This window comes from Homo sapiens, chromosome 2 (assembly GCF_000001405.40).
Source record: "Homo sapiens chromosome 2, GRCh38.p14 Primary Assembly".
Classification (NCBI taxonomy): Eukaryota; Metazoa; Chordata; class Mammalia; order Primates; family Hominidae; genus Homo; species Homo sapiens.
Window position 1 is genome coordinate 13,261,014 of NC_000002.12, and position 21,189 is coordinate 13,282,202.

The 21,189-nt window shown below is 34.5% G+C and overlaps 1 long non-coding RNA gene across 3 annotated transcripts in view; it reads left to right on the top strand.

Annotated features, from left to right (window-relative positions):
- LOC105373436 (uncharacterized) overlaps positions 1–21,189 on the top strand; it is a 330,895-nt gene that overhangs the window by 260,225 nt on the left and 49,481 nt on the right. For 2 of the 3 annotated variants that reach the window (XR_001739293.2, XR_001739292.2), the window contains exon 2: positions 9,866–9,953. This is a non-coding gene — a long non-coding RNA (uncharacterized LOC105373436). Of the gene's footprint in view, positions 1–9,865; positions 9,954–13,199; positions 14,360–21,189 lie in introns of those variants that run through there. The other variant, XR_001739291.2, reaches the window with a different exon arrangement.

A 21,189-nucleotide genomic window follows, 5' to 3' on the forward strand; every position in this document is an offset into this window, starting at 1 on the left:
GAGCAAGATTTGTGGGGCAGAGTACTGAAGAAAAGGGAACTGCATGGTGATAAAGCTCTGATATCTGCAAAGAAACCTCTGAATCTTAGGACCCTATCTGCACACAGGAAATAAACTCAGTAAAGACTGAGCCAAACAACTTCAGAACACATAGGATGGGCAGGGGATATAAAAGTATATCTATGTAGGTCTTACACTGCTTGTCTGCCAGAATAACATGATCAGAATGAGGATTATGATAAGTTGAAGCTGCATATTATAAATCCTAGAACAGTCCCTATTCATTCACTGTGAAGATTCTGGCCTCCCACATCTTTATTATTTTCTGCTTACTTCATCGCCCTAACTGCTGGCACACTTCAGAGCTTTATGCAGACATTAAAAAACAAGGTAGGCGTTAAGGTCATTCTGCCATGTTTATGCTTGAGTGGAGGTGGTGCAACTCCCTGCTTTCTCAGCAAAAGCTTCTTCCTCTGGCAGGACCATAATTTTTCATTGCCTTTAAATTTCTTAACAATAGTTAATCTACTGAAGTATTACCTTAGCAAGACGTGGAAAGCTATTTCTCTTTCAAAAGTACATTTTATTGCTCAAATGTATCCAGTATATTTTACAGTAGACAATCAATAGACTTGAATGTTATTTCCTTTCTTTTAAGCAATAACAGCCTGTTAACATTAAAGCCTTTTATTTTCTTGGAATTTATTTGAAATTGATCTATCGCATCTACTGAAAAAATTAAACATTAAATTTCATCAGAAATTTCATTGACTATGTTATTCATAATTATTTTAAACCACTTTTATCTTAATACAACAACCTTTTAAAAATCATGTTTATGTTTTTCCACTTTTGCAAAGGTAGCACTTATTATGGCATAGGATTTAAGAGCACAAATTCGACAGTCAGATTTCCTAGTTCACATCTTCACTCTATCACTTACCTGTTATTCTAAATAACTGTGCCTAGTGTTTCTCATCCAAACAAATAAATAAAAAATTGTATCTAACTTAAAAAGTCATTTGAAGATTACACTTTGTAATACACACAAAGGGCTTAGAATTTGCATACATATTTTAAAACAATAAATATTACCTCTATATATCATATCTATACAAAGTCTAGCAATCACAGATAAAGAAAAAATGCCTTTATTCTTACCACATAGAGATAATAACTGCCAATATTTGTTCCTTTAGATTGTTTTGTTGATGAATATTTCAATAATACTTATACATAAATGCAAAATTTAAATGCTTATAAATATTATTGATGGGGACACTCTTCTAGCTTAAAAATATGTAAACATTCAGCATTATTTTCTTAGAAATTAATAGAAGTAAAATTTATGAGCATGACTAAGATTTTTGGACATGTTTTAAAATACATTCAAAAGTATTATAATTCAAAGTCTCATTAAGGTGTATCCATTACTTTTAACACATTGCCAACACTTGCATTAATATTTTAAAAAGATCAAACTACGTATTTGACTCAAGGGTGTAGAAAACTAAATTAATAATTATAATTATAATTGGAATATAGATAGTATACTTGAAAAATATATGGGTTAGATGTTACATTTGCTGATAATCAAAAAGTAAACTGTTGTGTAAAAAGCAGCCCTGTTCTTAGTTAATAAACTTGAAGTATTTAAGAAGTAAAGGGCTTTGATATATACAATTTACCCTCAAATGGTTCAGAAAATACATTTAAGTAGATGATACAAGATTAGGTGGAAAGAAGTAAAAAATTGATAGCAAATGGTAGAGCAAATGGAGTAAAATGCATTACCAATATGTGATTTTCTATGCAGGGTGTAGGGGCATTCCTTGCATTATTTGTTTTCTTGCAAAGTCTACAAATTTCTCATTATTTCCAAATAACGAGTTAAAAAATCATCATTTATAAATTACAAGGAAACGGTGAATAAAACCAGCACATATGTTATTTTTAAAAAGTACCGCAAATAAAGAACAATGTGGGTCATAACAACACAACAATAAAATGCATAAATCAACACTAGCTAACCTAAATATTTAAAAAAACTCACGCCAATAATAAAATAGAAATTAGAGTGAAAATAACTACAAATAAGTAAGTGATATACAGAATTGAAATAAATTTTATTATCAACCTGAGAGGTCTTGTGAAAATCTCTGTGAGACGGATAATTGTCTATAAAATTTTAAATCATCCAATGTTTGAGTCAAAGAGGGAAGGAAAATTTGAATAGACTGATTTTTATTGAAGAAATTGTGCTTTTGAAGAGCTGACTTAAAGGTCCAGATATTTGAAAGTTGAATTTATTCAAATCTTTAAGAGAGAGAGAATTTAGATACATTGAATTTTATAAAGAATAAGCTATAAAAACATGTTTTAACAAAGCCATAAAACAAAGAAAATACCTAACAAACATATAGTTGTGTTAATTTACTAGGGGGTACCATTACAAAATTTCAGATAATGTATTTTTTATCTCTAGAATTTACATACTAATCTTTATAGTGTCCATTTTTATGTTTTTCTGATATGGAATTTCTTACTTAATCTGTTATTTTATGTCATTTTTCATCATTTCCATTCTTTGTGATTCTGTTTCTGTTTATTCAAATTTATTCTTATTATGGATCATATTTCCCTGCCTCTTTGCATGTCTTATACATTTTTATGGGATTGCAAATATTGTGAGTTTTATGTTGTTGGGTGCTGGATTTTGTTGTATTTCTTTAAAGAGTGCAAGACTTTATTCAGTTGTATGGTTAAGTGATTTGTGATTAGCTAGATCATTTTCAGATTTTCGCTTAAGATTTGTCAGGATACCAGTCTTTCTTCTAGGAGTAATTTATTTAGGATAATCTAGAACACCCTTCTGCAAGCTTTCGCGGCTCTCCTTCTAAAGCACTCTCCTCTTCATTATTCAGCTCCACACATTCTAGCTGCTTCTGTCTCCCTGAAATCTAGTCTCTGCCTTCCCAAATTAGTAAGACTTCTGAGGTCTGAGTTCCCATCTCTATTCTTCAGCCTAGAAACTTGCTGCAAGTGCTAAGCTGGGCAATTTCTAGAGCTAAGGCTCAGTTTATTGTTTCTCCTTTCGTAGGAATCATGTTTTTGCAGTTAGACACTGCCTATTGTGCAATGTCTGAAAAGAGTTGTTTTGCATATTTTATTTCATTTTCTAGTTATTTTTCACAAGAAGACCGTTTTTGTAGCTGTTAACCCTTTATGAGCAGAAGCAGAAGACGTTCTACTTTTAAATGTTGGAGTGTTTCAAGCTATGTACTTAGTCTTGTCTTTTCTTTTTTAATTTATTTTTTATACTCTTTTCCCTAAATGATCTTAGTTAGCCCATTCACTTTCACTATTACTTATATACTGATGACTGGAGTGTATATTTTAAGAGCTCAGACTTTGCTCTCTGTTCCACTATATTCAACTGCCTACTTTACATCTCATTTAATAGCGCTCTCAGCATTATCATGACTGAAACAGAGCTATTGATTCCTTGGCCTGCAATAAATGAAACCAACATTCACACAGTGAGTTCCTAAGTTCCATTCTTGATTTCTCACTTTTTTCAACCAGCACATTCAGTCCATCAATAAATACTGAAGTCTCTGTCTCTAAAATATATGTTCTCTTTTTTTTTAACCATTTATCGCAATCTTTATTGCTACAGCCTTATTTAAGTCAACAAAATTAATCTGATAATGTCACTCCTCTCCTTAAAACTCTCTTTTAAAATACAATAAAATAAAATCCTTTTACCATGGTCCATAAAGCTTTCTGTGATCATCTAATTCTGTTCTTTTATTCTTCCCACTGACTATGATCAAGCCCCATTGGCTCCGTTTTATTTCTTGAACACATAAGCTTGCTTTCATCTCAGGGACTTCGTAATCACTCTTCCTCTCCTTCAAAACTCTTTTAGATTTTGGCATGGCAACATTTATAGAACAATTTATATAGGGGAAAATTTATACATATATCTTCCCTTTGTAGATGTACAAACAAACCATACTTCCCACTTTCTATAACATCCTCACTTTTACTGCCTATATATTTATCAAATTTATCAATACTTTCTTTTGTATTCATTTGTTATTTATTTTCTCTTTTCTCTAACTGGGATAAAAATTTCTCAAGTGTTGAGAGTTGATTTATTTTATTAATCAACACATTATCAGTCTTAGAAAAGTGCCTGGTACATAGCAGAAACTAACATACCTATTAAATATATGAATACATAAATAATAACATGTTATTGTGAATATACTATTTATGTATGCATGAAGAATTTTGATATAAAAACGTTACGGCAGCCAGGCGCGGTGGCTTACTCCTGTAATCCTAGCACTTTGGGAGGCCGAGGCGGGCGGATCACCAGGTCAGGAAATCGAGACCATCCTGGCCAACGTGGTGAAACCTCGTCTCTACTAAAAAATACAAAAATTAGCTGGGTGTGGTGGCGCGCACCTGTAATCCCAGCTACTTTGGAGGCTGAGGCAGGAGAATCGCTTGAACCCGGGAGGCGGAGCTTGTGGTGAGCCGAGATCGCGCCATTGCACTCCAGCCTGGGCAACAAGAGTGAAATTCTATCTCAAAGAAAAAAAAAATGTGTGTATATATATATATATACATATATATATATATGCAATGAAATTTGGTTTTGGTAGATATAAGAGTTGTGTCAGAAGCCTTCTGTTGATACATGAAAGAACTTTTTAAACAAAATGGTATTTTGTCTTTTGATTAAATAGACAATATTTAGATTAGGAAAATATTTAAACTATTTAAAATAGACTAAGACAGATGTGTTTTAGTTAGATGTGTACAATAATATTTTATAATTTAAATATTAATTTTAAAATGTAAAGATCCATGATCTGAGAGACCAGAATAGATGCAACTTTCTTAACTAAGACGGGTTCTAAGGTTAAGGGAACTAAAGTTACCTATAGTCAAGGGTTCAGGACCCCTCTGGCATGACAAATTTCTAAATTCCTAAGGCTTAACTCCCTAACAATAGGAGCTATCCGCTGTGATGCACAACCCAGACCATTATATCTCTGACTGGACAGAGGATCAGCCTTAAAACATTCTTTCATGATAAACAACAGTCGACCTTAAGCCAGTTTCATTCAACTAACAGAGGCTGTATATACGTTGTCTTTGTGTTCTACAGTTCACTTTTGACATAAAAAGCCAAACTCTAGCTCATTTTAATGCTAAAACCCCACCTCAAAATGAACATGGAATGTATGTTATATACATTTTTACCCATTATGCATGTGCCTGGCTCCCCTGGTAAATTTGCATAGCTTTTTTCCCAAATCTGCTGAATATGTATTAAACCAGCCCTGTGAGGCATAAACACCAACTGTTCTCTGAAGAAAGCACACCTTCTTTCTGCACTGAAGACTTTCTCTTCCAAGTTTTCAAATTGATTTGCCAATAAAGCTCTCTTTTCTACTATTTAGCCACACTGGTGGTCTTTTGGATGACAACATTTATTTAAATACACATTATATATTTCCTCTCATTATTTCCTGCTTTACAGCACAATGATAGATTAAAGAATAAAAACCTTTCTGGAGTGTTTTTAAAATAATATTTTATTTATATATGTTACATCGTAATCCCAAACTGTAACAATATGAAAGATGAGAGAAGTTTATAACTTATTTATACAACCTATATAACTTTTATTAACTTGTATGCTTTGTATTCCTTATATCTTTAAGACAGAGTTTGTAATTAGTTTAATTTGTATTTTACTATTTCTTATTCTCTGTTTACATGTTTCTAAAACTATTTTTTATTTGCTCAAATCCTAGGAAACAAGGCAAAATTCTGAATGAAATGGGAAGCTTCTATGACTATTTTGTGTTATTTATAAGTTTCTTGAAATGTACAATAGAAATACTTATTAAAAGACAACTTAAAATGAAATGGGTAAACACTATACAAGTTAACCAAGTCATAATTGCTGTCAGCTTTGTCAAATAGCATGGAGAGAATATAGCGAGGTATTCTAAGACATTTAGAGGACTATATTTATTTTTAATGTACATGATGTGGTTTGGCTCTGTCCCCACCCAAAATCTCATCTTGAATTATCATCTGAATAGTAATCCCCCTGTATTGGGGAAGGGACTTCATGGGAGGTGATTTGATCGTGGGGGCAATTCCCTCATGCTGTTCTTATGATAGTGAGGGAGGTCTCAGGAGATCTGATGGTTTTATAGGGGGCTTTCCACCCTTCGCTCTGCTCTTCTCTCTCCTACCACCATGTGAAAAAGGACGTGTTTGCTTCCCCTTCCGCCATAATCGTAAGCTTCCTGAGGCCTTCGCAGCCACGTGGAACTGTGACTCAGTTAAACCTCTTTCCTTTAGAAATTATCTAGTCTCAGGCACTTCTTTATAGCAGTGTGGGAAAGGACTAATACAGTACATTAGCTACTATATATGTTGAAACACAGTTTGTTAAAGAAAGAACAGGGACTTTGGATATAGGAGAGAAAACTGAAATTAAAAATTGAGATTTTCTACCTTTAGAATGGAGTCAATTTTATAATTATTTTTGAGCTTCAGTTTGTTTCTGTACAGTGTGCTATAGTATCTACCTCATCACATTCTTATAAAGATGAAATAAATAAATGAAAGGCAATCAGAAGAGGTCCAGGCACACACTTAAATACTCAATAAAGTTACATATATGTGTGTGTGTGTGTGTGTGTGTGTGTGTGTGTGTATTTATTTATTTATTACGGTTATCATCCATAAAATTTTTAAAATACCTACCAGGTAACTATTATGAAAATAAAAGAAAATGCCTATAAAAACATCCCTGAGTACATCATAAAATCCTACACAATAAAGCTATTTTTATGTACTGTAAAAGTCAGAAGTATTACACTGAAGAGCATCATAAGCTAAAAAATCTGTTTCTTTTCATTCTAAGATATCTTCTTGCTTTGTTCTTTAACAACATTGTTTCTTGTATTATTACTGCTAAAGACTTTCATTGTAGGACATTCCAAAATATTCATTCGACAAGCAAAAATTTGTTTACATATCCACTCATTGTATGGTTTTACTTGTTTTATAACCACCCATTTATTTATTCATATATTAATTCTTTCAACATATATTTATTGATCTAGCAATTTATTCTATACACTGTGAGGAGCTAGAAATACCAGAAGAAACAAAAAGTAAATGTCCCTGCCTTTGTGCATTTTATATTTTATAAAATGTACTATCTTTATCTCTATCCAGTAATTAAATAAGTTTAATGACAAATCACCAGGAACGTTACTTTGAATAAGAGAGTAAGAAAAGGCCTTTCTGGAGTAAGTGAAATTCTAAATAAATTGAACAAGATGATTGAGACATACTCCTCGTCTATGGTCTGGTGGGCAAGAAACGTGTCTTATAATAATAATTTAATAATGATGAATTATTCTCACTGGTATAATTACTGTGACAGTGTGTTAAATTGAAAGTTTTGAATGCAGTGCCAGAATATGATAAATATCAGATACCAAATCAGTTGTGAGACGGATCAAAGTGCAGTTTTCAAGGGAAATATATATTAATGAGTTTCATAAGCCCTTAAACCTCTCATACATTTCAAGAGTGGGAAAAAGTTGTTTTAATTTTAAGAGGATGATTTTAGGAAGAGGAATTTCATAGATATTATGGGAATTCTACCTAAAAACTTTGGAGAAAGGACCAAAAACTGGGCTTTGGAGGTTAAGTGATTATTTTTGGGTAGGCAGGGGCAGGAGGTGGGAGTGGAGAGAAAGGGCATTTCAAGAAATAATAAGTTATGTGAACTCAGACATAAATAAGAATTGGTACTTTTGCAGCAATGTAATCAGGTATAATGTCCAGGGTATCAGAGGCTGAGATCTGAAATGATGGCTGGAGTCAGGTTCTAGAGAGTATAGTGATCTCTAGGCAATTTTATCTATAGGTATGGGAAACCATTAACAGTCATGGAAGTAACAGGAATTTCAGGATATTTGTAGCATATCCCTAGAGTATGGTATTTAATGTCTAAAGCAATGTCCACAAGAGTTTCAATAGTCTCTGTAAATTAAACATACTGGAAACTTCTGGCCTAACTTTTTGTTTTTCATTCATATTTATCTCAGGCTACCTTTAGGGATTTGGATCAGGCACTGTAGGGTTCTTCAAGGAACTTGAAGAATAAATCCTGTAGTCTACTAATGCAATGGACTCCAATGAAGACGATTAAACGGCCCTCCTTCTCCACAAAACAATGATCACAGAAAAAAATACAAATAAAATAATTGGATAGTTGAGATCTCATCGCTGACTGCATATGACACCAGGAACCATATTTTATAAAATTTGTGTTCAGAATACATCATTCCCCTTTTTCAATGAGAGCTTTTTTGTCCTTTAGTAAAAATTATGTGGAAAGGAAAACTATCAATTAAATGCACCTATAATTGCTCAAACTTAAAATAATTACTTATATCTTCGTGTATTTATTTTGTATTTATTACATGCATTCAGATATTTTGTAGATGAAATCATAATTTATTCATTCATAAATCTTGCCCCATATTGAACATTTAGGCTAGATCACAATTCTTTATTATAGAAATGCTACAATGTATATGTACTCATTATTCATTCTTTTAACAAATATTCATTGAATACCCACACACATAATACTGTTATAGATGGTGATAACACAAGTATCCCAACTTCATAAAGCTTAAATTCTAAAGGTCAAAGAACATCAATAAATAAAGAAATAAGCATTAATCTCCCTTCTGCCCTTTACACAAGGCAACTACTCTACTGACTTTTACCATCAGAGACTAGTACTGTCTGTCGTAGAACTTTATACAGATGGAATCATACAACACGCACATTGCCTTTGGCTTGTTTCATTCAGCCTAATATTACCTATATTTATATATATTATTGTGTATTAGCAGTCTTTTTCTATTTATTTTTGAGTGGTATTCTATTTTGTAAATACATCACATGTTTATCTCTTCACTTTTAAAGGCTATTTGACTTTTACCAATTTGGGTATTACAAATAAAACTATAAATATTCTTGTATAAAGTGTATATGTGTGTGTGGGGGGGTGCATGCAAATATTTAATTTCTTTTGGGTAAATAACCAGGGAGGAAAGTTTTGTGTCAGAGAGTAGGTGTTGGCTGAACTTTATGGGAACTACCAAACAGTTTTGCAAAGTGTTACATAATTTCACATTCCCATTAGCAAAGTATGAGATTTCTGTTGCTTAATATTTAATGTTGTTAGCCTTTTTAAATTTTAGCCATTATAGTAATTATGGAGTTGTTTCTCACTATTTTAATTTGTATATCCCTGATGAAGAAAAGTTATTGGGAAATTGAGCAATTTTATGTGTTTATTGGCCATTTCTACATCTTTATTTAAGAGTTATTGTTTCATGACTTCTTCCCGCTTTTTATAGAGTTGTTTTTCTTTTTACTATTGAGTTCTGTTATTTTTATATTCTAAATAGTAGTAATTTTTCAGATATGTCCATAGAAGATATTTCCTTTCATTCTGTGACTTCCCTATTTATTTTCTTATTACTATCTTCAGACTAGCAGAAAATTTAAATTGTATGAAGTCCAGATTGCCACTTTTCTCTTTCCATGGTTAATATTTTCTTTGTCCTTCTAAGAAATCTTTGCCTAGCCCAAGGTCTCGAGGACGTACCTCTATATTTCTTCTAGAAGTCTTATAATTTTTATTTTTAAATATGTAGAAATACAAATCCTTCTCAAAATTATTTTCTGGATTATTTTTGATTAAAGTCACTTATTATTTTGTCCCATACAGATACCCAGTTTTTCAGCTCCATTAACTGAAAGACTCTTTTCCTGAATGTTGTCCTTGCATCATTGCACAAAATCAGCTTACCATAAAGGTATGGGTGTATTTCTGTGTTTTAGTCTGTTTATTTCACTTAATGTTACATCTATCCATACTACACTGCCTTAATTACTGTAGCTTTACGGTAATTCTTTTTTTTTTCAGATAAATTTGGTTTACTAGATTTCCTTGTTTCCTTTAAGATTTCAAACTTTTTCCTTCCGTATTTATTTTATTTTATTTTATTATTATTATACTTTAAGTTTTAGGGTACATGTGCACAATGTGCAGGTTAGTTACATATGTAGACATGTGCCATGCTGGTGTGCTGCACCCATTAACTCATCATTTAGCATTAGGTACATCTCCTAAAGCTATCCCTCCCCACTCCCCCCACCCCACAACAGTCCCCAGAGTGTGATGTTCCCCTTCCTGTGTCCATGTGTTCTCATTGTTCAATTCCCACCTATGAGTGAGAACATGTGGTGTTTGGTTTTTTGTTCTTGCGATAGTTTACTGAGAATGATGATTTCCAATTTCATCCATGTCCCTACAAAGGACATGAACTCATCATTTTTTTATAGTTGCATAGTATTCCATGGTGTATATGTGCCACATTTTCTTAATCCAGTCTATCATTGTTGGACATTTGGGTTGGTTCCAAGTCTTTGCTATTGTGAATAGTGCCACAATAAACATATGTGTGCATGTGTCTTTATAGCAGCATGATTTATAGTCCTTTGGGTATACCCAGTAATGGGATGGCTGGGTCAAATGGTATTTCTAGTTCTAGATCCCTGAGGAATCGCCACACTGACTTCCAAAATGGTTGAACTAGTTTGCAGTCCCACCAACAGTGTAAAAGTGTTCCTATTTCTCCAAATCCTCTCCAGCACCTGTTGTTTCCTGACTTTTTAATAATTGCCATTCTAACTGGTGTGAGATGGTATCTCATTGTGGTTTTGATTTGCATTTCTCTGATGGCCAGTGATGGTGAGCATTTTTTCATGTGTTTTTTGGCTGCATAAATGTCTTCTTTTGAGAAGTGTCTGTTCATGTCCTCCGCCCACTTTTTGATGGGGTTGTTTGTTTTTTTCTTGTAAATTTGTTTGAGTTCATTGTAGATTCTGGATATTAGCCCTTTGTCAGATGAGTAGGTTGTAAAAATTTTCTCCCATTTTGTAGGTTGTCTGTTCACTCTGATGGTAGTTTCTTTTGCTGTGCAGAAGCTCTTTAGTTTAATTAGAACCCATTTGTCAATTTTGGCTTTTGTTGCCATTGCTTTTGGTGTTTTAGACATGAAGTCCTTGCCCATGCCTATGTCCTGAATGGTAATGCCTAGGTTTTCTTCTAGGGTTTTTATGGTTTTAGGTCTAACATTTAAGTCTTTAATCCATCTTGAATTAATTTTTGTATAAGGTGTAAAGAAGGGATCCAATTTCAGCTTTCTACATATGGCTAGCCAGTTTTCCCAGCACCATTTATTAAATAGGGAATCGTTTCCCCATTGCTTGTTTTTCTCAGGTTTGTCAAAATCAGATAGTTGTAGATATGCGGCATTATTTCTGAGGGCTCTGTTCTGTTCCATTGAACTGTATCTCTGTTTTGGTACCAGTACCATGCTGTTTTGGTTACTGTAGCTTTGTAGAATAGTTTGAAGTCAGGTAGTGTGATGCCTCCAGCTTTGTTCTTTTGGCTTAGGATTGACTTGGCGATGCGGGCTCTTTTTTGGTGCCTTATGAACTTTAAAGTAGTTTTTTTCCAATTCTGTGAAGAAAGTCATTGGTAGCTTGATAGGGATGGCATTGAATCTATAAATTACCTTGGGCAGTATGGCCATTTTCACGATATTGATTCTTCCTACCCATGAGCATGGAATGTTCTTCCATTTGTTTGTACCCTCTTTTATTTCATTGAGCAGTGGTTTATAGTTCTCCTTGAAGAGGTCCTTCATGTTCCTTGTAAGTTGGATTCCTAGGTATTTTATTCTCTTTGAAGCAATTGTGAATGGGAGTTCACTCATGATTTGGCTCTCTGTTTGTCTGTTATTGGTGTGTAAGAATGCTTGTGATTTTTGTACATTGATTTTGTATCCTGAGACTTTGCTGAAGTTGCTTATCAGCTTAAGGAGATTTTGGGCTGAGTCAATGGGGTTTTCTAGATATACAATCATGTCGTCTGCAAAGAGGGACAATTTGACTTCCTCTTTTCCTAATTGAATACCCTTTATTTCCTTCTCCTGCCTAATTGCCCTGGCCAGAACTTCCAACACTATGTTGAATAGGAGTGGTGAGAGAGGGCATCCCTGTCTTGTGCCAGTTTTCAAAGGGAATGCTTCCAGTTTTTGCCCATTCAGTATGATATTGGCTGGGGTTTGTCATAGATAGCTCTTATTATTTTGAGATACGTCCTATCAATACCTAATTTATTGAGAGTTTTTAGCATGAAGGGTTGTTAAATTTTGTCAAAGGCCTTTTCTGCATCTATTGAGATAATCATGTGGTTTTTGTCTTTGGTTCTGTTTATACGCTGGATCACATTTATTGATTTGCATATATTGAACCAGCCTTGCATCCCAGGGATGAAGCCCACTTGATCGTGGTGGATAAAATGTCCACCCTCAGTTCCTTGTCATGTGGCCCTCTCCATAGGGCAGCTCATTGTATAGCAGCTTGCTGCTTCAAAGGCAGTAACAGAATTTTTTAGCAAGATAGATATTATAGCCATCTCATACAAGGTAATCACATACATGTAACCAAGTATATGCTGTCTTCTATGCTGTAATCTATTGGTTAGCAGCAAGCTACAGGTCCTAGCTGCACTTAAAGAGAGGAAGGTAATAAAAGGTGTGAATACCAGCAACCTGGGTTTGTGGGAACTACCTTAGAGTCTCTCCACTGCACAGTGATAATTACAAAAAACACAGATTTCAAAAATTATGATACAGTCAAACATTGATGAAAAACAAAAATATCCTTTCAAAATGAGGGAAATGCTCATAACCTTATGTAAAATTATATACATCCATCTATATATTAATTCCTACTAAATAATTCTATATTCCCTGCAAAAAACACTTTGAAAGTATTAAAATATTATCAGATTTTCCTTTATAGTGGCTATTTTTTACTTGCTTGCTTTGTAATACTTTTCTGATTTTCTAATTAATACGTAAGATATTAATTATATATAATTATATTTGTGCATTTTCAGAAAACATAAATATAAATTTTATGAATAAAAAAATGCTCAAACTGTCTTCTTCTCACTATATTTTTTTTCTTCCCTTTCTGGATGGCAGAGGATTTACTGAAATCCTGAAACTTAGGAGTCAGCAAGTTTTTCATTTGTGTTTGTCAAATGTCAAGAAAAGCTGAGGAGTTACAAGAAACTCAGTGATCCCTGACAGCTCTCTGCAATTGCAGCAAAATCTGAGCAAGACTGACAGAAACCACTCGGGGACAAACATCTGACTTCCACAGCAGTTAAAATCATTGAATACAGAACCAAAATGTCTTCATGTGAAAAACTCCATCAAGACCCAAGAAAACTTCTGACTCATTAGTAGTTTAGGGTACATCATGTGGATGCTTTTGAAACCCCATTCTTTGAAGTCTTCCCCACTTAACATATATCTAAAAACCATACATACATTCATTAGATATAATCTTAGTTACCAGTTTTAAAGGAAATAAAAGCATATAGAACACAATAGTTACATCTCCAAAATAAAGAAGCTTGTAAGATGTGTAAAAGTTAAGAATTCATTTTCACTAACAATTATTCTCAAACTTAAATGAGGATACTGAGGACATGAAAATTACAGAGCTAGTATCATGATGCTATAAAATACTGATATATTTAATATCCCAACAGGGACTGATTAGACTTATATATTTAAAACATATTTAAGTTGCTTAGAAATTTTAAGTCAATAAAATTCACATACAATAATATACATTATAAAATATGAATTTAAAGCTTTGGAATTTACTGATCAGACATTTCCAATAGCTCTTTGAAATGTTCCCATACATATATTTTGTTGTTTGCTTGATGGCAAAGTTTAAAAATGTTGAGTAAAAATATTAGAACTTGTGAAACCCTGTTTGTATACACCCAAACACACTTACATATCTATCTATATCTATCTATAGAAATATATGTATGCATTTGTATACACACACACACACACACACACACACACACATATGGCAAAATACATTGCTAGAACAAAGGAAGTGGAGTCACATAGATTCTTAGTATCCATTCAGATTCAAAAATTCTAACAAACTAAATATGGGATTAAGGAATGGTAAAATTTTAAATCTCATATTAGCACTACGTACTGTTTTAACAAGCAATCAACTAAACAAAGGCATTTTCTTCTCTTTAAGAGCAATTCAGTGGGCAGGTCACGATCTCTCTGTCTGTGTGTGTGTGTGTGTGTGTGTGTGTGTGTGTGTGTGTATGTATTTGTGTGTATGTGTTTCTCTGTCTGTCTTAGTTCATTTGAGCTGCTATAACACAATGCCATAGACTGGGTGGGTTATTAACAATAGAAATCTATTTCTCAGTTCTGGAGGCTGGGAAGTCCATGATCAAGGCCTCAGATTATGTGTCTGGTGAGGTCTTGTTTCCTGATCCTAGGTGATGATTACTTGCTGGGCTTTCACATGGTGGATGTACAAAAAGGCTCCCTTGGGCCTCTCTTAGAAAGGCATTAATCTCATTCATCAGGCTCTAGCTTCTGGACCTAATCACCTTGGAGAGGCCCCATGTCCTAACACCATCACCTTGGATTAGGATTGCAACGTATGAATTTCAGTGGGACACAAACATTTAAGACCATACCAGCCTCCTTCTTCCCTTTTCTACCCCCAACACCATGCCCATCCTTCCAAATTTGTTAGTAGTTTTCACTCACAGTTTATTTTATTTTTTTCTTCATCCATTTTCCTTAGACTGAATACATCTTTATGGGTCTCTCCTTTATGCTAATAAATGTTGGAAATATTGAATGGAGGTATTGTACATCTCATCCGTCTTTTCTGATGAGAGAGAAGGAATCACCAAGCAGAGCAGACATGTTGGGGCTTAATAACTTTCATAGTCCTTATGGTGTAAAGCCTCCGTTTGAAAATCGACATTCTATTAGGCTGAATCATGCTTGCCATTTGTCACAGTTCAGTGCACTAAACTTAGGACTGAAAATATGCATTTTGGATACTTGGGGTAAGAGAAAGTTTTTCTCACAGAAATCTGTTTATTTGGAGCTGAATGCAAGGAACTGATAATTTTCTTCTCAGAGGTTCTCATTACATAGTGTCATAAGAGACTGTCAGAAAAATGCCGATAAGAAAACATACTATCTGACTTCTCAGGAAATACATTAAAATAAATTCCCAGCAACAAAAACTTGCATTAATCCATTTGATAAGGAGTGGTAGAATTATCGTTCATTTCTACTAAGTGGCCTTTTCCTTGTGTTTGATCTGAAATATAGGACCTTAAATGCTATTGGGGGAGAAAGGTAAGTTTGTGATTTTCTACTTTTACTTTTAAACCAATTTATTTTATTTAATGATCCCTTGATATATTCAACTATAGCAATTTTAATAACTTACCTAAAATTCTGATTAAGTGGAGTAAATTCATAACTTTAAAACTGCCTCATTTTGATTATAACCAGGAAATATTTTTTTCATTTTTATTCTTCTTTATGTTGTAAAGGATGTATCAAAAATGATAATTCATAAATATTTTTAAAGTTTTTAAACAATTTTTGAGTTATTATATCTGTAGAAAAGCAGTACAAATTCCTGACATGCATATGCCACATAGACATGCTTAGAAATTACTATTACCTCCATTTCACACATGTTGTTTTTAAGCATACTTAAAGTAAGTAGAAACTTACTGGATTTTAATAGATGACTGATATTAGATATTGTCTGTGATTTCCCATACACTTTGCTAGATTATTATATGTCATATTTAATCACTAAAGCAGCCTCCACGAGGGTTGTTTCATATCATTATAAAGTGAGTAATTGGAAAGCTAAAAAGGCCACAGAGTTAGCAAATGGTAGACATGGCATTTTAAACTACATGTGTCTGACTTCAAGATACAGGATTAGATTTTTCAGATTTTATGTCCTATATGCAGAATCTATTCATTTCTTTTTCTTTCCTTTTCTTTTTTTTTTTTTTTTAGACATGGGGTCTTGCTTATTGCTCAGCCTGGAGTGCAGTGGCACAATCATCACTCACTGCAGGATCAACCCCTGGGCTCAAGCGATCCTCCCACCTCAGTCTCTCAAGTAGCTTGGACCACATGCGCATACCATCATGCTCAGTTAATATTTTATAATTTTTGTAGAGATGGGGCCTCACATGTTGCCCAGGCTGGTTTTGAACTCCTGGGCTCAAGTGACCCTTCTCCCTTGGCCTCCCAAAGTGCTGGGATTACAGACATGAGCCACCATGCCTTGCTCTTCATTTCTTAAACAGAATATTTTGATTGAGTGAAGCCTTATGTACACTAATAAAGTATACTTTTAAGCTTCTACACTGTACTTGTTAGTTAGGCTTTGCTAACTTAAATATGAACTATTTCATATGAATCTGAAACATAAAAACTGAAAAATGCCACACTTTGGCAAACTGTGAAGCCTTCATGAGAATAACTATGCCCTGTTGCATAGAGACCAGCTTAGTCAATTCTATCAGACCCCTCTCTTTATAATTTTAAAATATTTCATTGAAAGATAAGAATTATATATATTTAAGAAGTATGATGTGATAAGTGGATATACATATATATTATATAATGATTAGCACAATCAAATTGATTGACACATCCGTCATCCCCTATGCTGTACTGCATGAGCTTATTTGAGGGTTATTGGCAGAGGAAGAAGCTGATTAATCATTTTTTAATCTTTTATTAAACATGGTCACAATACCTTGGTAAAACTTTCAGTAAAATAGAAGAAAGGAATTTATCACCCTGCCTAACTTCTTGAGCACATTCATTTTAAGACTTTTGATTGACTTTTAAACTATTAGTTGGACCACCATACCAAAAGGGAGTGAACTAATCAAATGAACAATGCTGGCTTCCATTTATTGATTATCTTATTTATGATTTTTTTTCTGTGAGGCCCTTCCCTTCACCCTTGAGACCTTGAGTCCCAGAGATAAATATGACATAATCCCTGCTAAGAAGAGTGTAGCGACAGAAAGACTTGTTCATGTCACTTGCCTTCACAGGATAAGTTTTCTGTAAAATGTCACTTCCCTTATCGAATACAGGGCACTATGCTTGTTCATTGAAAAAGGAACTAAGTTTTAATTGTGGTAGGTTTCTGAGAAGAGAAGATGTCTGTATCAAGAACAAGTACAAGAAAACTGGACAAAATATGCATGTGTGTAGGATCTGCAGCGGATGGGGACATGAACCAAGGGCATGAATTTAAGACAATAAGCAGCATTTGAAAAATAAGAAAGGTAAGAGGGACTATGGCTTACTCTGAACAAGGTGTTCACTGAGGCTGTGTAGGGAAGGTGATCTGAAAATGGAGAAAACAAAACTGGAGTGATAGATAGGAAGCTGATTATGCAAGGGCTTATGGGGTTTTATATCAAGACTTGGGGTTTTATACTAAGGTTGTTGGAAAGCAATGAGTGCTTTGGGCAGAAATGATATGATGAGATGTTTTTGTTCCTACCTAGGCGCATTACTAAATGTCAACCATTTGGCATTCTGGTTTTTAAATGAGCAAAGATTGATAATGAATGCCATAAATCAGTCATGAAGAGCCTGGATCATCTCTGGGCTTGCAGAGGGAATAATGTTATGTTTCTGATAACACTCCCTGATGCCATACCTGTCTCTGACAGCTCTGTAGCTCTAAAGTTGCATATTTCAAAATCATTCAGTCACTGCAAAATTTTCTGCATGGAAATCACTAAGATCCAGCTGTTTACTACAATGATTTGTGAGAGGGTTTAACATGAAATTTAACTTAACTCTGCAATGTCTTGATCACCTTACTTATCTTTTTTCCGATAAAGCATTGGTGATCACAGCTGTGTGAATAAATTTTTAAAACAACATTTTTGTTAAAGAAATTTACTTGAGGGCTGAATGTGATGGCTTGCGGCTATGATTCTAGCATTTTTGGAGGCTGAGGCAGGAGCATGACTTGAGCCCAGAAGTTCAAGACCAGCCTGGGAAACATAAGGAGACACTATCTCTACAAAAACAACAACAATAACAAAAGCAAAAAACTCCCCACAACTTTACTTGAAGATCATTGTTGAGTTGGTCAACCCTATGGAGAGCTTACAATAGGACTGGTTAGAAGAGGTTCCTAGAAATTGTACTTATTTACAAAAATGCATTAAGAAATAGATGAGGTGTGAAGGTTTTCCTCTTCATATATTAGTAAATTCTGCATTCTTCACATTTTACCATCAAGTGAAACGACCTTGGATCCAGTATCCTCAGGCACCAGCCCTCTTCCAGCTCTTTCCAATACAATTTTTCTAGGTCCCACAGCTCCTTACAATGTAATTTCTTTCTTTTTAAGCAGGCTTAGCAGAAGCCTGGTCAGATTATGTTGTAACTTAATCATTGTTATGGATCTAGTAGCCAGAAGAGGATCACAATGGGGTCAAGTGTTGAGTCACATTGTAGTGGCCTTTTCAACATCTTCATCAAATGGGTGAGTTGTAGCCCTCTAACAGGAAGGTGCAGGCCAGGTCAAGAGGATTTAGAGGGGTCTCAGTTTGCAATGATTTCAAGTTTATCAACCCAGTTTTTTGTTTTTTGCTTTTTGTTTTGAGACTGAGTCTCACTCTGTAGCCCAGGCTGGAGTGCAGTGGTGTGATCTCAGCTCACTGCAACTTCCGTCTCCCAGGTTCAAGAAATTCTCCTGCCTCAACCTTCTGAGTAGCTGGGATTACAGGTGCCCACCACCACGCCCAGCTAATTTTTGTATTTTTAGTAGAGACAGGGTTTCACTACGTTGGCCAGCCTTGTCTCGAACTCCTGACCTCAGGCAATCCGCCTGCCTCGGCCTCCCAAAGTGCTGGGATTACAGGCGTGAGCCACCGCTCCTGGCCTCAACCCAGTTTTGCTAATTTAAAGTCTCAATTCATCTCTTCCCAACTAGGGCCGTAAACTTGGCATTGCACAAGACAGTATCCAACCTTCTCTGGAACTCTGCTACTCATATAATTAGCCTGTCCCTCATCATTAGCTTTCCTTGCTCTCTGACATCACATATAGCTCTGTCTATATTCTGCTAAAGAGGTCCTTTGACTTTCCCACTTTGCCTTTAACTATTAAATATGCTTTCAGTTTTGTCTTGTCTTTTTTAAATGCATTAATAGGACTCAGTAATTGCCATCAAATTCCATTCTCCTTATGATTAGTACTTAGTCCTAATCTCTCAAATCCCTGAGATATTGTTCTAGCCAGTGTGTCCTCATTCATCACTGGTTTTAACTAACAATTGCGGTGCTACAATGTACCAGGGATTGTCAATGCTTCTCCTACCAGCAGTTAAGGGATCCTCAATGCCAGAGAGAGATCAGCTCTAAAATACTATTTTTGACACTGTTTCCTCAGATAAATTCTGGAACCAACTACCGTAGGTTCGGTTTCCTGGGAAACAGACTTATTTTGAAATTGCTATAATGGAGGTTTATTATTAAGGAGCAAAGAAGTAGGACTAATCAGATATAAGTTGAACTGTGAGGCATTTGCAGTACAGACTGTAGCTGATCCCATAGGAACCCTGGAGCTGTGATTGACCTTGAAAACTGTCCCATTTTAAGCAAGTGGCTGTTACTTTGTACTACCCCCTGCCTTCCACCACCATGAACTAGTCAGTGTTTTTAGTATGCCCTCAGGAAAGGACCTTGATCTTGGGTGAGGTGGTATCTAGGGTAGAAGACAATTCCCAGAGAAGGCTTTAGCTGACAGCTGTTATGTAACCAACATTCCCAGAAGCTGGGAGAATGAGTGTCTCCATTTTAAAATAGAGAATTACGTGGTTCATTCTAGCATTCTCTCTCTGAAGCTTTCTCGCGACTTTGTCCACTTTGTTCAGTGCAATTTTTGCTTTGACAAGCTGTGAAACGTCCTAATTGTTCTCATAATTTCATATGGCTTATCTATATCTTCCTCTTCTTTTTATTTTTGTAAAATTCAAAATAATTAAATTATCTTTGAGTCATTAATTTAATCTAATTTAGTTGTATTAATTTCCATTTTAAATGAATAGCAATATTAATGAGTCTATGGAATGGATTCTAACACTAATAGATTGTAACACAATTTTAACAAAAACTTCTTGGATTCTTTGTAAGTTTAATTAATGAATCATTCTATCCATCAAGTCATAGCTGTGGACCTTTTATACTAACACAGAAAAATCAGCAGATTTATATTCTTTTATTTAGATATTTATATCCAGATTTTTATCCGAAAAATTTAGAAATGAATATAATTAAAACTTAATCCAAAAAGAACAGCATTAATATACAAAACTCTAGATTTTCAAGGTTGACTAGACTAGAGATGGAAACAATTCAAATTATGGGATTTTAATTTTGAAAGAACATGATCTGGGGAGGGAATGCATCAGGATAAATAGCTAATGCATGCGGGGCTTAATACCTTGGTAATGGGTTGCTAGGTACAACAAACCACCACAGCACATGTTTACTTATGTAGCAAACCTGCATGTCCTACACACGTATCCCAGAACATAAAATTAAATTAAAGTAAAAAGAAAAAGAAAGAACATAAAAAATCTGGTTAATGGTTATCTTCACTTTGCACATAAAAAAGATGAAATTGAGATCATCTAATTATGACTGCCTCAGTATCTGCCAATTAATGAAACTGATGGGAACAAAACCGTGACTCTGAAGCCTATAATCATTGCACCAAACTATTTTAATACACTTGTTTCTCCCTAAATACATCTTATGAAGCAGCTTTAGTAAAATCAAATGTACATGCTTTCTAAAGCTTCAAACCAAATTAGGACCAGCAGAAACATCCAAATACAATGTGATTGTTGTCACTGTTCATTCTCTGGAAGGATCACTATCATTCTCAGGGCAATTTCAATAAATGCAATGGACTCATCCACCCATATCCCTATTGTCTTCCTTAGACAGACATCTGGAAGCTCAACACCTGGGTCTTATCTCTTTAATCCCTCCTCTTTAATCAATTATTGACATTACATGGGAATGGTTGTTGGTTT